Raw genomic sequence first — 16,943 nt, 5'->3', positions numbered from 1 at the left:
AAGAGCACGGGAAAGGAAAATAGGAGTTTAATCATCTTGGTGAAACTAGGAAACAGGATGTACACTGGAGATATATTATTTTCTATGCTCAGTTCATTAAAAAAAAGTATAGTGGGTGCTTAGATGAAAATGAGACTTCTAAATTTGCCAGTCTAATTAAGACGTCTGTACCTTGTGCAGCGTAAATCATGTTGGTTAAATACGTGCAGGCTTTTAAAAAATGTGTTTTATGATGTAATTTTGTTTTTAGAATTTCTAGAATTTGGAATCGAGTGCATTTTCTGACATTTGAGTACAGTACCCAGGGGTTCTTGGAGAAGAACCTGGTCCCAGAGGAGCTTGACTGACCATAAAAATGAGTACTGCAGATGCACTGTAAGCACCTGACTTCTGGAATCCCTTGTTATTTGGGGTTTCTAAAGCTCGTCAACTGTGATCACAGTAAAAGAAAACTTATTTAATAAGCAGTAAATAAGGAACCTGTTTATGAACAGAAATATTAGTCATCAAAAAGGGTATTTGGAATGTTTTAAATATTTATCTGTTTGTTAACTGGAAGCTAATATGCAGCTATAGATTGGAGTCTTGCAGTAATTTGATATATTGATATAGTATTGTTTATGTTCTTAGGCTTCATCTTAAATTATTGAAGTGATAAATATTCTTGAATTTTCCTGACAAATTCTTATTAGTCAATGCAGTTCTGTTTAAGATTTTTAGAGTAAATTCCTCTAGTATTAAATAAGCTGGAAATGAATTTGAATGGAATGGGAATAAATAAAAGGACTGTAAAAGTTATGTGCACTTTGGGAGGCCGAGGCTAGCGGGATCATCTGAGGTCAGGATTTGGAGACCAGCCTGACCAACATGGTGAAACCCCGTCTCTACTAAAAATACAAAATTAGCCAGGCGTGGTGGCGCATGCCTGTAATCCCAGCTACTCAGGAGGCTGAGGCAGGAGTATCATTTGAACCCGAGAGGCGGAGGTTGCAGTGAGCCGAGATCGTAAAAAAAAAAAGTTATGTGGGAAAGACTTTAGACTTGGAGTCTTTTACCCTAGTTTCAAGTCCTTGGACCCTACTAGCTGTGTGACCTTGGGCAAGTCAGCAGTTCTCTGAGCCTTGCCTCAATTTTGCCATTGGTATAATTGGAATAATTATACCTTTTTCAGATTAATTTTGAGGCTTAAATGAGAGAATTCATGAGAAAATACTTCATAAATTGCTACAGAAACATGTAGTATTATGATTTGAAAAGTATCTGACCTACCTTCTTGGATATATCAGTGAGAACTGTGTGCATATCATTTTTGAAGTTTTTGAAGAGAAATCGTTTGTGGAAATATCTTTTGTTTGTAAAGATTTGAATTTTGGAGATATATACAGAGATTTTTTAAAAATTCATTGTGGTTTATTGAAAATAGCCTGAGTTTTCATCATGGGTTTTAGTCCTGTTTCTGTCACTAGTTATGTGATAAAGCAGTTAATTTCTCTGGGTTTAGCCTTCTCATTTGTCAGAGATAATAATGCCTGACTCTTTATCTGTGAGGGTTGAGATGAGATCATAAAAATAAAAGTATTTCATACAATTAAATTTAGTGTAAGAGTATTAATAACTATTACATTGCTACTTCACATTAAAGTACCTTTGAATATTACCAAATTCAAATTGAAACAATTCTGTGTTGGCCAACTTTATTAATGAAATCTAACTCTGTAGAGAGTAGAGTCATGCAAGTGTCTTCAAGGCCCTGAATGTAAATTATTGCATATTAGTATAAAATTGACTCATAAACTTAGAGGAAGGCTTTTTAAATTAACTTCGATTTTCCTGGAAGAGTACGAAGTCAGATAAATAACAAGTTTATTTATCTGAGGAAAACAAGCAAACTTTTGGGCCTGGGTTACATGAGTTTGTAAAACTGGTTATAACAAGGTTATAAATTTTTGAAGCAGTTATAGAACCTTGTAAAGATTTATGTACATTTGTTCTGTATTGAACTAGTGGTTAGGAAAACTGTAATGTTAATGATAACGTTGAATACTTCAGATTTTCAGATGAACTCTAAGGCTAAAAAAAATGATTTTACTCTATAACTGTTATTATTTATTTTATAAGTTTGTCTCAATTTGTTTGAATATCCTTTAATGAATTATTAATATATTGAAATGTTTCTTCTTTCTTAATATAGTGATGATGAAAACACATTTAAAATATTAGTTGCAACAGATATTCATCTTGGATTTATGGAGAAAGATGCAGTCAGAGGAAATGATACGTTTGTAACACTCGATGAAATTTTAAGACTTGCCCAGGAAAATGAAGTGAGTGTGGTTTGTATTTGTGCACTATCTACCATATTCCCTTGGTTAACAAGTTATTTTTCCTTCTAAAGTTAGAGATTTGTTTTATAAGCTCAGGTGCTTACCTTGCCTGCTTGAATATCAATATACTGAAAGCTCAAAGCTGATTTTGTATGCTTTGTGTCTTAAATTCAAGTAGGAGCTACTTTTGTAAATAGTCTGTTAAAATTTACAAATGTTTTTGGGGTGTTTACTGAATGCAGGATCCTGTGGCAGTGTCTATTCGAAATGTAAGGTGACTGTCAAAGCTTCTGCTTTCAGATAACGTAGAAGAAAACTGGTGTGAAAGACAAATATCCACAATCCACAGATGCAAGGTTGTATGTGATAGGAGCCCTAAGAAAATTCTAAATAACATTTCCTTTGAGTTTAGAGGCAGAAAAAATCACGTTTAGATTATAGCAAGATGAGTTTAATGAAGAAGGTTGTGTTTAACTTGGGCTTTGGAGGAAGGGTAGACTTTTGGCCAGTGGGGAGCATAGAGAATGTACATCCATGTGAAGCAGGAGTGAGGAAACCCGTGAGACAGTATAAGGTATGTTAGGGGCCCTGTAGTCAATTTGGCTCACCAGCAGGTCATAGTTAGCAAGCATGCTGAGAGACTAGAAGGAAGGATTTGAGCTGCATTAATGAGGACTTCAAATATCAGATTGAGAAATTTGTATCCAGTTCAAGAGAAAGTCTTTTGGCAGCGGAGTATAATACCATGAATTGGAGACCAGTTAGAGGCTTTTTTTGAAGTATTGACCTTAGGGATGGAAAAGAGGAAATGAATGCAAGGGATACTGCAAAAAGAGGATTTGTGTACTTTGGTTAGTTGTAGCGGGGTGGGGATGAGGGCAAAGGGATGACAGTGACTCTGAAGTGTGTGGAGTTTGGGTGAATAGTTGTACCAAAAATAGAAATAGGTAGATAAGGAAGAGGTACTGCTTCATGTGGGAAGGTGACAAATTCTTTGTTTGATTTCGACAAACTTAGAGTTGGAGACTGCAATGGGACATTCAGGGAAAAATTTCAGCAGGCAGTTAACACGCCAGCCCAGGAGAGAGTTGGAGAATAAATGTAAAAATTGACTTGCAAATTAACACCGCCAGCCTTGACTTTTCTGGAGAGTTCTCTTAAGTTTATCTGCTAGGTCCTTAGTTCTTCCTCCCAAATATATATGGTTCCTCTCTACTACTCTTTTCACACTAATAAACTTAGTCCAAAACGATCACATTTCACATGGCCTGCAGGAGGTCCCCTTCCATCTTTCTGCTTCTATTCTTTTCTGCTACATCTACTCAGCATAGCAGCCAAAGTGAACTTTTAAAATAATAAATCAGATCATGGCACTCTGTTGCCTAAAATTTTCCAAGTGTCCTTCCATTGAATCTAGTATAAAATTCAAACTACAAGGTTCGACTTGATCTTGACCCCTGCCATGAAACTTCATCTCCTACTACTCTCTGCCTGATTTACAGTGCTACATCCACACCGGCATGTTCTACTCTGAGGCCCTTGCACATCTAGTTCTTTCTGCTTGGAGCACATTGATCTTGGTGGGGCCGACTTCTGAGAGTTCAAGTCTTACCTTTTTGGAGACGTCTTCCCTGATACTTCCAAGCACTGTTTTATCACATTACTCTGCTTTTTTTCATAGCATATTTTTAATAGCACTATCTGAAATAATTTATTGAATTATTTACTTGTTTATTGTCTGTTGTCTTCACTAGAAGGAAAACTCCATGAGAGTGGAAATCTTTTGTTTGTTCATGCTGTATCTTAGTGCTTAGAAAGAATCAGAAAGCAGTGGGTATACATATTTTAAATTTCTTAATTAAGTGAGGCAATGGCTGGATTCTTTCTTTTATTTTAGGTTCAGGGGTACATGTGCAGGTTTGTTACATAGGTAAACTCATATGACAGGGATTGTTGTACAGATTATTTTGGCACCCAGGTATTAATCCTAGTACCCATTCATTATTTTTCCTGATCCTCTCCCTCCTCCTATCATCTGCTCTCTGGTAGGTCCCAGTGTCTGTTGTTCCCCTCTTTGTGTCCATGTCTTCTCATCATTTAGCTCCCACTTACAAGTATTTGATTTTTCTGTTCCTCCATTAGTTTGCTAAGGATGATGGCCTCCAGCTCCATCCGTGTCCCTGCAAAGGACATTATCTGGTTCTTTTTAATAGCTGCATAGTATTCCATGGTTTATATGTACCACATTTTCTTTATCCAGTCTACCATTGATGGGCATTTAGGTTGATTCCATGTCTTTGCTATTGTGAATAGTACTGCAGTGAACATATGTGTGCTGTGTCTTTGTGGTAGAATGATTTATATTCCTTTGGGTATATACCAAGTAATGGAATTGCTGGGTCAAATGGTAGTTCCATTTTTAGCTCTTTGAAGAATCGTCACACTGCTTTCCACAATGGTTGAACCAGTTTACACCCCCATCAACAGTGTATAAGTGTTCCCTTTTCTCCGTAATTTCACCAGCATCTGTTCTTTTTTGACTTTTCAATAATAGAATGTAAGGTGCATTTTTCCTTCCTTGAAGGCAAAAAAACTTGTGGCCAAAGGAGGTCTGTTTCCTGCCAGAGAATCCTGTATGTGCTCTTTCTTTTTTAACTCTTGAGCCCTAAAACAGAATCTTCTCCTGAGTGTAAGCTACTTAATTCTACTTTGCCCTTTCCTTCACTTCTGCTTCTACTGTTTCTCTTCCCTGCGTCCCTTAATTGTAACTGTTCCACCCCCCATAACCCCAGGTAGGGACTTCTAGATGTGTATTATATTTACTCATTCTCTTGATTTGTATTTAGTATTTCTTATTATTGAATCTAAAGTCTTCCTGACTTTTAAGTCCCTTATTATGTGGGCCCATGCCCACTAACCAGTCTTAGTTCTGTTCCCTAGTTTCTTGGAGTCTTTTTTTAAAAAAACTTTTTATTTTGAAACAACATCAGTCTCACAGAAAAGTTGGCAAGAATAGCGCATAGAATTCCTTACCCGTCACCCAGGTTTTCTAACATTTTGTCACATTTGCTTTATCTTCTCTTTACAAATACACACGATTTTTTTCCTGAACCATTTGAGAGTAAACCGCATGTATAATCATAGAAAACCAGAAAATTAGTATTGATTCAGTGCTATTATATAATGTTAAGATGTTGCCAATTGTCCCTGTAATGTCTGTTACAGCACTTTGGAGGCTGGTTGGTGGTGTCCAGGATCCAGTCCAGGTTTACATATTGCATTTAGTTGCCATGTCTCTTTGTCTCCTTTAATCTGGTACATTTTCCTGCATCTGCCTTGCCTTTGTTTTTCATGACCCTAATATTTTGAAGAGTACACAGGCCAGTTATTTTATAGAATCTTCCTCAAATTGGCTATAAGTGGTATTTCCTCATGATTAGGTTCAGATTCTGCACTTTCGGCAAGAATACCACAGAAGTGAGTCGTGTTCTTTTCAATATTTCCTGGAGTCACTGCCAGCCAGTTTAAAAAATTTTTTTAAATGTTTGAATGATGGCAAAATATATTAAATACATAACATAAAATTTCCCTTGTTAACCATTTTTAAGTGTATAGTACAGTAGTGTTAAATATGTTCATATTGCTGTGCAACCAATCTCCAGAATTACTCTCATCTTGCAAAAATGACACCCATTAAGCAACAACTTCTTTTCGCCCCAGTATGTTTTTCATTTGGTTTGTTGTTTTTGTTTTGTTTCTTCCATGCCTTTGATTGAGATCATTTTCTTCCTTTTACTCAAATAGTGTTCATTCTGGAAGGCCTAGCTTAAACCTCACATTTTTATTAAAGTTATCCTAACTACCATACGCACAGTGATCTATACCTTGTATTCTTTTGTGTGATTAAGAACTTAAGTTTCTTTAGGTGCATCGTATACGTCTTGAAAGCCTGTGTTAGACTTTTTCTGTATGATTTCCCTCCTTCACTGAAGTTATTCCTAGAATTCTCTTCCTCACAATCATTTATCTTTCCTAGTGCAACTAACATGCCACCATGTTAGTTCATTCCTTCTAGACTTTCTGTCCTCAGGCGAATTGTCCTCCCTTGAGTTCAAATTCATCGTAGTGTCATCTCTGCTGCTGGTTGCTTACGTGTCCATTCTAGTGCACCCCAGAGTTTGACTTATGTTTAAATGTATAACAGTTTGCCTCTTCCATTAGAGTTTGAACATATTTAGGATAGGGATCATATTTTATTCATCATTGTATCCTCAGGACTCAGTAGAGGGTCTTGCATAGAGTCAGTATTTAATGAGGGCAGGGATATAATCTATTTTGTAGATTGCTATTTTTTGAGCTTCTAGAACCTGTAGGAATTCTGTAAATAAATGCTGAATGAATTAAATGAATGATTTGGATTGAATTTGGTATCTCTTCCCATACGTTCTGTTAAAGTGCTAAGTTTATGTTTGATTCAAATAATAGAAAAAATATGATCACCTTGTGTGGCCTGAATCAGAGACTTGGTGTAATTGGAAGATGGCTTTTTTGAAGATAGCTTAGTCAGCTAAATTAGAACCAGATTAATTACCAGATTGAAAGTCCCTTTGAATAAATAAAATGTAAATTTTTAAGTTGCCATATATAATAGTGTCTTTTGTGAGTTTTTTTTTATCTCTTTCATCTGTAGTTTACAAAAATTTTACCTGTAAAACATACTAATTTTAACACCTTTTTCTGTTGATCAGGTGGATTTTATTTTGTTAGGTGGTGATCTTTTTCATGAAAATAAGCCCTCAAGGAAAACATTACATACCTGCCTCGAGTTATTAAGAAAATATTGTATGGGTGATCGGCCTGTCCAGTTTGAAATTCTCAGTGATCAGTCAGTCAACTTTGGTTTTAGTAAGTAAGTATATTTATTTACTTGAGTGAGTGATTACTTGTGTATGGTATTTGCTGTATAAGACACGTAAACACACAACTGTTTTGCCTTCCATATAAGCTATTTTCTTAGTAAATATCATTCTTTGAATTTTTTTGTACATCATTGTATTAATTTATATTTTCCTAATTAATAGTGGAACTGACCCAGCTACTCGGGAAGCTGAGGTGGGAGGATTACTTGAGCCCCAGAAGCAGAGGTTGCAGTGAGCCAAAATTGTGCCATTGCACTCCAGCCTAGGTGATAGAGCAAGACTCCATCTCAAAAAAAAAAAAAAAATACATGGTGGGACTGAATATCTTCTCAGGTTTATATTGTACATTTTGGTATCCTCTCCTGTTCGTATCCTCTGCCTATTTTAAAAATTGAGATTTTTTTGTTTGTTTTTCTACCTGAATTGCAGAAGTTACTTATATATTCTAATTAGTAAACCTTTGTGATACATATATTTTTTCCCAATCAATGGCTTGTCTTTTGACTTTGTTTATGGACTCTTGTTGACAGAAATATTTAATTTTTATGTAGTTAAATCTATTGGTTTTTCTTTTTTTCCATTTGTGCCTTTGGGACTATTTATGATATTTGTCAATCCCTATATTATAAAAATATCATCATGTGTTTTTTCTTTTTTTTTTTGATGGAGTCTTGCTCTGTTGCCCAGGCTGGAGTACAGTGGCATGAGCTTGGCTCACTGCAACCTCTGCCTCCTGGGTTCAAGCAATTCTCCCTGCCTTAGCCTCCTGAGTAGCTGGGATTACAGGCGAGTAGTTGGGATTACAGGTGAGTAGCTGGGATTACAGGCGCCCATCACCACGCCCGGCAAATTTTTTGTATTTTTAGTAGAGACAGGGTTTTGCCATGTTGGCCAGGCTGGTCTTGAACTCCAGACCTCAGGTAATCCACCTGCCTTGGCCTCCCAAAGTGCTGGGATTATAGACGCAAGCTACCGCTTCTGGCCCATCATGTCTTAAACATTGTACAGGATCTCACATTGCATTTAGTAGAAACGTTTCCTTAATTTCTTCAGCCCATGTCAGGTTTTCTGTCTTTCCTTGTCTTTCATGACCCTGATACTTATAAAGAGGTCAGGTATTTTGTAGAACGTCCCTCAATTTGGTATTTTCTCCTGCTTTCTATGATTAGATTGGGATTACAGGTTTTGGGGGAGAATATTCAAGAAGTGAAGTACCCTTTCAGTCGCATCATATCAGGAGGTGCGTGACATCAACCTGATTTATCACTGGTGATTTTAACCTTGATCACTTGGTTAAGCTGGTCTCTGCCAGGTTTCTCCAGTGTAAAGTCATTATTTTTTCCTTTCCATATGCTGTTGGTTAGAATTGAGTCTCTGAGTCCAGCTTACTCTCAAAGGGCAGGGAGTTAAGTTTCCACTTCTGATGGACATAAGTTAAAACCACCAAAGTAATTAATAAATATTTTAGGGTAGATATTTTGAGGCTGTGCGACTTTTCTGTTCCTCCTTAAATTTGTTCATTAATTTTAGATTCATCAGTGGATCTTACCTACAACAGTTATAACTGTGATATTCTAATTGTGATTTTCCATTTCCTATATTCTTTCTACATGTATTAATTGGGATTCTTTTGTAAGGAAGATTTGTCCCTTGTCCCACATTTGTTTATTCAATTGTCTATATCAGTAGAAACCCATTTTTTTTTCCTTTGGGTTATAATTTATTACTATCATAATTTACTTGTGGCTTAAATTGTTCCAGCTTTAGCCATTGGGCTCCTTTTGAGATTGGCTCCTGTATCCTTTTGATATATCCCACCTTTTCTTCTGATTTTTTACTTTGTCTTTCTTGTCTTCAGACTCAGCCATTTCTTCAAGGAACCCTGGTTCCTTTTGGAGAATGGTATTTGGAAACCAAGATCTGGATGTTACATGTGCACATTACTATTGTATTGTTGCTTCTAGGCTCTCACTGGACAGAGCTAAGAAAAATATGTGTACATACTAACCCATGAGAATAGACATACTCATGTTTATTTATTTATTTATTTATTTATTTAATTTTTGCTTTTGAGACAGGGTCTGGCTCTCTTTCCTATGCTGTAGTGCAGTGGCATGATCATAGCTCACTGCAGCCTCAACCTCCTGGGTTCAAGCCATCTTCCTGCCTCAGCCTCCCAAGTAGCTGGGACTATATGCATGTGCCACTGTATTAGTCCGTTTTCATGCTGCTGATAAAGACATACCCGCCAAGACTGGGCAGTTCACAAAAGAAAGAGGTTTAATGGACTTTCAGTTCCACCTGGCTGGGGCGGCTTCACAATCGTGGCTGAAGGCAAGAGGAGCAAGTCACGTCTTACATGGATGATGGCAGGCAAAGAGAGAGGTTGTGCTGGGAAACTCCCATTTTTAAAACCATCAGATCTCTTTAGACTTATTCACTATCACCAGAACAGCACAGGAAAGGCCTGCCCCCATGATTCAATTATCTCCCACGAGGCCCCTCCCATAACACGTGGGAATTATGGGAGCTACAAGATGAAATTTGGGTGGGGACACAGAGTCAAAGCATATCAGCCACCACACCCAGCTAATTTTTAAGAAATTATTTTTGGTAGAGATGGGGTCTCACTGTGTTGCCCAGCTGGTCCTGGGCCCAAGCAATCCTCCTGCCTTAGCTTCTCAAAGTGCTGTGATTACACTTGTGAGCCACCATGCCCAGCCCATATTTATTTCTTATTTAGTTTTTAAAGTGTGACTTTATATTGGGAGGTAAATTTTTTTTTGAGATTTTGTCCACATGAAAATGTTTATGTTCACTTTCCCCTTGATTGATAGTTTGGCTGCATATATAATTGAGTTTTAAAAGATTTGTATAATACTTTGTCCTTGTTTTTCAAAATTGTGATCAATGTCTTTACCCTCCTTCTATTCAAATCTAAAACTTGGGACATTTTTTATTTTTTATTTTTTATTTTTGAGAAGGAGTCTTACTGTCACCCAAGCTGGAGTGCAGAGGCACGATCTTGGCTCACTGCAACCTCCACCTCCCAGGTTCAAGCAGTTCTTCTGCCTCAGCCTCCTGAGTAGCTGGGACTACAAGTGTGCACCACCATGCCCAGCTAATTTTTTTATGCGTTTTTAGTAGAGACGGGGTTTCACCAGGTTGGTGAGGCTGGTCTTGAACTCCTGACCTCAAGTGATCCTCCCGACTTGGCCTCCGAAAGTGTTGAGATTATAGGCGTGAGCCACCACACCCAGCCGGGACATTTTTTAACTTCAGTATTTTCTTTCTTTCATCTTATTTTTAAATTGCATTCTGTTTTGAAAACTGTTTCCCCACCCTATATACATGTTTACCTATTTCTTTGCTCACTGTTGTTCCTTGTATTTCATTTCTTTTGTGTAGATTCAGTTTCCTTCTTTCTGAAGCACAGTTTTCAGTAGTTTTTTCATGGAGTGTCAGTGAGTGGTAAACTCTTATTTTTTGTTGCTGTTGAGGAGTCTACTGTTAGGTGAGTTGCTAGAAAGTTTAGCATAGTGATTAAGAGCATGGGTTCCGGTATAAAACAGCTGGAGTTCAAATCCTGGTTCTGTCATTTAGTAGTTGTAAAATTATGTTAGTCACTTAACTACTCTACCTTAGTTCTGTCCTTCATAACATGGGAAAGAAATGTGCCAATCTTACAGAGTTGAGAAGATTGAGATGATAAGAAAAATGGCTAGAGTAGTGACCAGCATAAAGACAATACTTGGGTAACTTAAGATTTTCTCATTGTTCTTAACATGTTGCAGTCTTATTTAGCTGTGGATTTAATTCTGTTTGTTCCGCGTGGGCTTTATCATATATTCTAATGTAATATTGTTTTTCAGCAACTTGGGGAAATTCCCATTCTATTCATTATGTTTTCAAATATTGTTTCCTTTCTCTTTCTGAATATCATTTATATAGCATACTATTAAAAAAAATATTGCCCATAACTTTACCTCTTTGTGTTTCATTTTGGATAATTTAATCTTCCAGTTCACAGTTCATGTAGAAAATAGGCAAAGATAGGGAAATCCCAAAAAAGAAGACTACTAAGGAGTTAGTAGCCAATTAGATTTGAAGTATAACAATGCTACAATAATTGAAAATGTGGTATGGCTCATGAATTAGTAGATAGGTAAGTGAAAGAGAATAGAAACTCTAGAAATAGCCTCAAATACATGTAGGAATTGAGTATTTGATGAAGGTCACCATCTCACAATGTAGGGGAAATAATGGATTCAGTAAAACTGCTAGGAGAAACTGTTACACATATTTTAAAAATCTAGGTGTGGGGAAGGCTTCTAAGTATGACACAAGACCCAGAAGTCATAAAAGATTCATACATTTGTCTTTGCAAAAATAAATTTCTGCATGCCAAAAACTGCCTGAAGCAAAGCCAGAAGTCACAGTTCAATCAGGAAGAATATTTGCAACCAATTGCAAATTAAGGTTGAATTCCCCAATAAGCAGTTCTTTCAAGACAATAAAATTCATGAGTTAGTAATAAATAAAGAATATGGACATACTTCACAGAAAAGGAAATAACATGACATTTAACTTTTATTTTTTTTTTTCGAGACAGAGTCTTGCTTTGTCGCCCAGGTTGGAGAGCAGTGGCGCGATCTCGGCTTACTGCAACCTCTGCCTCCCAGATTCAAGCACTTGTCCTGCCTCAGTCTCCCAAGTAGCTGGGACTACAGGCATGTGCCACCATGCACGGCTAATTTTTGTGTTTTTAGTAGAGACAGGGTTTCACCATGTTGGCCAGGCTCATCTCGAACTCCTGACCTCAGGTGATCTGCCCACCTCGGCCTCCCAAAGTGCTGGGATTACAGATGTGAGCCACCGCATCCGGCCTAAACCTATTTTTAAAAGTTTGATTTCACTCATAAGAAAAAGACAGAGCTATACTGAAATATTTTTCTCCTATAAGGTTGGCATAGGTCTGTGACTCTCAATCCTGAGTGCACAGTACAGTTACCTAAGAACCTTTGAAAATATGGATGGCCCCCTCTCCAGGCCAACTAACTTAGAGTCTCTCCAAGTATGTCATGGGCATTGGCATTTCTTGAAAGATCCCCAAGATAATTCCAACATGCTGCTAGCATTAAGAACTGCTAGCATAGATTTAAGAGCTGGATGACCTACTGTGTTAGTGAGGTAGGGGAAAACTGTCCCTCTTGTGCACTGCCATTGCATTATGTGTAAATCTCTATGGTGGGAAATTGGCAGCACCTATCAAAATTACAAATACATGTACTCTTTGACCTAACAATTCCCTTCCAGGTATTCCTTTACAGGTCGACTCACCAGGGCAACAAGATTACTCGCTGTAGAAGATTACTTTGTACAAGATTACTGACTGTAGCATTGTTTGTAAAACAAGACTGCCAAGAATCTAAATGTCCATTGGTAGGGAACTGCTCAAACACATTGTGGTGATCCATGCAATGGAGTACTGTGTGGCTGACAGAGCAGAAGAAAGGTCTTCATGTACTGATGTGGAATGATTTCTAAAATATGTTGAGTGATAAAAGCAGGATGCAGAAATGTATATTTTTCTATCATTTATGTAAGGAGAAAGAAAAATCTGTTTATTTGTGTGGATAGGTATAGGATCCTTTTGAAAGATGCACTAGAAATTGCTAACATTATTTGCCTCTGAGAAGAGGAGCTGGATGGCTGGGGGCAGGGGCTGACAGGAGACTTTAATTTGAACAGGCAATAAGTGATAGAGCTGGGAGTTTTAATCTACCTCTTTGGGATTCTAAAGTATATGGATTTTCTTCCCTCCCCCCACTACGAATAAAAACCATATGCTAAGTTTTTAAAATTTTGAAGGCTTATTAACTTTTCATTAATTAGATATACTACTCATACATACCACAAGCACTGTTTATTATAGTTGGGGTTTCTTTAAAATGTAGTGCTTTGAGATATTTTCAAACTAATTGAAATGAATTGTCGCCTATGATTTTATTTTTTAAAGCTCTAAACTAGTGGTCATATGCCAATGTAGATTATGCAGTTTGCCTATGATTGCATTAATATTTTGGAGGAGAATCTTAGGGAAAACAGCTTTTGTCCCGTATGGAAATTTTAAGTAACTTTTTTTTTTTAAGGTTTCCATGGGTGAACTATCAAGATGGCAACCTCAACATTTCAATTCCAGTGTTTAGTATTCATGGCAATCATGACGATCCCACAGGGGTAATTATTGTTTTCTTAGAGTTTGTTGGAATTTTGGAAATGATCAGTTTAGTTTGTCTGTGGAAAGCATGCCTTCCCTTTTTCTCATTGTGTAGTCAAATTGAGTCAAAAGTCAAGTTGACTTTTCACATTCATACAAGCTTTTATACTGCTTTTTAGATTTTTTAAAAATCTGAAATAAGAATTGGTGTATGAGCTATGCTTTTATTTCATTAATACTGATGTTAACAATAAGAAGCCAGGAGTAGGAGTGAACACCTAACATCTGTATAGTGGTTTACAGTTTGTCAGTGTTTTTATAACTATCTTATAAAATCTCACTTTTAGGAAATGATTGTTCAAGACCATCTTTAAATCTAAATTAGATTATCTTATTACCTGTTTGATATGGAAGTAAGACTAGAGATCCTACAAGTATTTTTTCATTTTATCTGGTCATTAATATTATGAATCACTGATTATCTATGGTCTTTTTTCCCCAGGCTTTAAGACGGTTGCTTAATATTACAAAGCATTTATCTCATGGCTAATTTTTATTTTTTTGTGGCCAAGACATCATAAGTTTTGATGAGATATTAACCTTGCCTTTGGCATGTGATTCCAGTTGCTGTAGGTGATTTGTAGTACAAAAATGTAGCAAATACTTTTACTATTGTAATTTTGTTTTGAGAAGACACTATCCTCATCTATGTTTTTGTAAGTAGAATATGGAGTATGCTTTTAACAGGTGATACGATATTCATGCAGATACCTACTTTTACATACACACTAACATTCTTTGAAATTATTTTGCATAGGCAGATGCACTTTGTGCCTTGGACATTTTAAGTTGTGCTGGATTTGTAAATCACTTTGGACGTTCAATGTCTGTGGAGAAGATAGACATTAGTCCGGTTTTGCTTCAAAAAGGAAGCACAAAGATTGCGCTATATGGTTTAGGTAAGACAGTTTTATTTTACTGTTTATGTCCATGTGTGATTCTTTAAACAATTGAGAAATTTGGAGATAAGTTTGTATCTGTTTGGAAAAAATGGGGCAAACCTTATTCTTTATTGGTGACTATAAAAAATGATGGATGGTTTTGGTAAAAATTTTTGGTGAAAAAATGTCTTTTCGTTACTATTTATTATTTTGGGTTTTTTTTAGACTCAGGTGTAGAATCCTGAATGTTAGAATTATAGAATAATTAGCAAAACTGCACTTTGATATCTTGGAAGTCTTTGAAAGGTCTAATGCTTCACTGTACAATACCGCTAGCTTATAATTTTGTGCAGCTTTCATAATACCTCTGGCAAGTAGAAAAGCATCATGGTTATTTATATTTTAGAGATAAGGAAAATGAAATCTGGATGTTATATCTGATTCTGCAAGTGAAAGAGCAGGAAGTGAAATATACTTTTCTTAAAAAAGCTATTAACAGTTGTTTTAATCACTGCAGTGTTATTAGGGATCATATCTCCAGAAAATTGCCTTTCCTCCTCCATTCAGACTAAGGACAGATTCCATTATGCCTCAGTCACCACCAGAAGCACATCTCTCCAGTCATCCATTTTCTCCCAAACTCTTATCTTATCCTGTTCTATTATACCTTCCTTAACTGGACTCTGTCTCCACCCTGCACCCCTCCCTGTCCCCCAGCTCTTCATTATAAACTCTAGAACTCTTTTTATAATTATCAGATTCCTCATTATTATCAGTCTCTTCTCTGAATGTTACCTCCACTTTCTAACCTTCAGTGAAGCCCAGCTGTCCCCTGAGGTTCCTGTGTCCCATGCAGTTCTCTTACCCCTGGGCTTTTGGAAAGAAGCGGGGATCACTGTTCTCCTTGCTCCACCCACTGCTTCCTTTTCTGCCTGCAAACACACTGTTCCCTTTAAGCTTCTGCCATCTGGCTAAACCGCATTGCTTTTTCTCTCAGACTTTTTACCTACTTACCTACCTTCAATTTTGCCAGTGTTTTTAGTGTTTCAACACTCAAGTAGATTAATCTTCTAATGCCTTGGGCTTTGTGTGCCTTGACTTTTTTGTCTCCAGTTACATGTTCTACATTCCACCTCAGCCATGTATTCCATTGGCCACTCCTGTAGCATTCTCCTTGGGAGCTAGGCCACTTCTAACTTCTAGACTTCTACATTGTTGGCTTTTCTTCTGAGACCCTCTCTAATCCGTATATAAAGTAGCAGTGTTGTCCACCCTTTTAATTCCATAGTGTTAATTCGCCATCTTAGCATCCTGGCTTTTTCTCCTTTTATAATATTTAATATTTGTAACTATTTTGTTGACTTGTTTTTGTTAGTTTCTTTCACTAGATCAAGGTGAACCTGTGGAGTATGAGAATTGTTTGAAAGTCATTGAGTTATTTAAAAAGCACAATATATTAAAACAATGTAAGAATATTGTTTTTAAATACACTTTTATCATCCCTTTTAATATTTATTTCTGCACATGTTATAATGTATATATTAGATCAAAAGTATATATAATTTATAACAAAGGGATGGTGAAAAATAGTATTACTAGAAGTTTTAATAAGAATTTTACCATAGAAAACTCACATTTTTATTCTACATTTTGCTGGTTTTGAACATGTATATGTCTGAAATGGAAAATGTTTTTCAAATGCAACTAACTACTGTTATCAAGAACCTGGAACAGGCCAGGCGTGCTGGCACACGCCTGTAATTTCAGCACTTTGGGAGGCCAAGGCAGGTAGATCACTTGAGGTCCGGAGTTCAAGACCAGCCTGTCCAACGTGGCAAAACCCCATCTCTACTAAAAGTGCAAAAATTAGCCAGACGTGGTGGTGCATGCTGTAATCCCAGCAACTCAGGAGGCTGAGGCACAAGAATCCCTTGAACCCAGGAGGTGAAGGTTGCAGTGAGCTGAGATCACACCACTGCACTCCAGCCTGGGCAATGGAGCAAGACTGTGTTTAGAAAAGAAAAGAAAAGAAAAAAAACCCTGAAACAGCTAGGCATGGTGGCTTATGCTTGTAATCCCAGCACTTTGGGAGGCTGAGGCGAGAGGATTGCTTGAGCCCAGGAGTTTGAGACCAGCCTGGACAACATAGCAAGACCCTGTCTCAGTTAAAAAAAAAAGATAAAAAAAGAACCTGCAACATACCCACTTATAAATTATTCCAGAATTCAAATATATCTCCCAACAGTAAAGTGAAATACTTTGAGAAGGACATAATTTAGAAGCAAAATAGATTCATTTTTTAAGCCGAAGTAAGAAAACAATTTAAAAATAATGTAATGTCCATTTCAGGATCCATTCCAGATGAAAGGCTCTATCGAATGTTTGTCAATAAAAAAGTAACAATGTTGAGACCAAAGGAAGATGAGAACTCTTGGTTTAACTTATTTGTGATTCATCAGAACAGGTAAAACTTTTCTCTGAAAAAGTTTGAGCCAAGTGCTGAGGCTTCCCAAATCTGTTTCTGAGCTTACCTATTTTA

The 16,943-nt window shown here is 36.8% G+C and overlaps 1 protein-coding gene across 37 annotated transcripts in view; it reads left to right on the top strand.

Annotated features, from left to right (window-relative positions):
* MRE11 (MRE11 double strand break repair nuclease) overlaps positions 1-16,943 on the top strand; it is a 96,843-nt gene that overhangs the window by 19,256 nt on the left and 60,644 nt on the right. For 22 of the 37 annotated variants that reach the window (XR_007062484.1, XR_007062482.1, XR_007062483.1 and 19 more), the window contains exons 2-7: positions 251-375; positions 2,192-2,324; positions 7,073-7,233; positions 13,396-13,483; positions 14,281-14,422; positions 16,754-16,868. Coding sequence is in view for 32 of the 37 variants with exons in the window: in XM_011542837.3 (XP_011541139.1) it covers positions 356-375; positions 2,192-2,324; positions 7,073-7,233; positions 13,396-13,483; positions 14,281-14,422; positions 16,754-16,868 (659 nt within the window). In the remaining 5 variants the exon portion in view is untranslated. Of the gene's footprint in view, positions 1-250; positions 516-2,191; positions 2,325-7,072; positions 7,234-13,395; positions 13,484-14,280; positions 14,423-16,753; positions 16,869-16,943 lie in introns of those variants that run through there. The other 15 variants (NM_001440469.1, NM_001440476.1, NM_001440465.1 and 12 more) reach the window with 7 other exon arrangements.

This window comes from Homo sapiens, chromosome 11 (assembly GCF_000001405.40).
Source record: "Homo sapiens chromosome 11, GRCh38.p14 Primary Assembly".
NCBI classification, from domain to species: Eukaryota; Metazoa; Chordata; class Mammalia; order Primates; family Hominidae; genus Homo; species Homo sapiens.
This window is presented reverse-complemented; position numbering and strand designations above follow the sequence as displayed.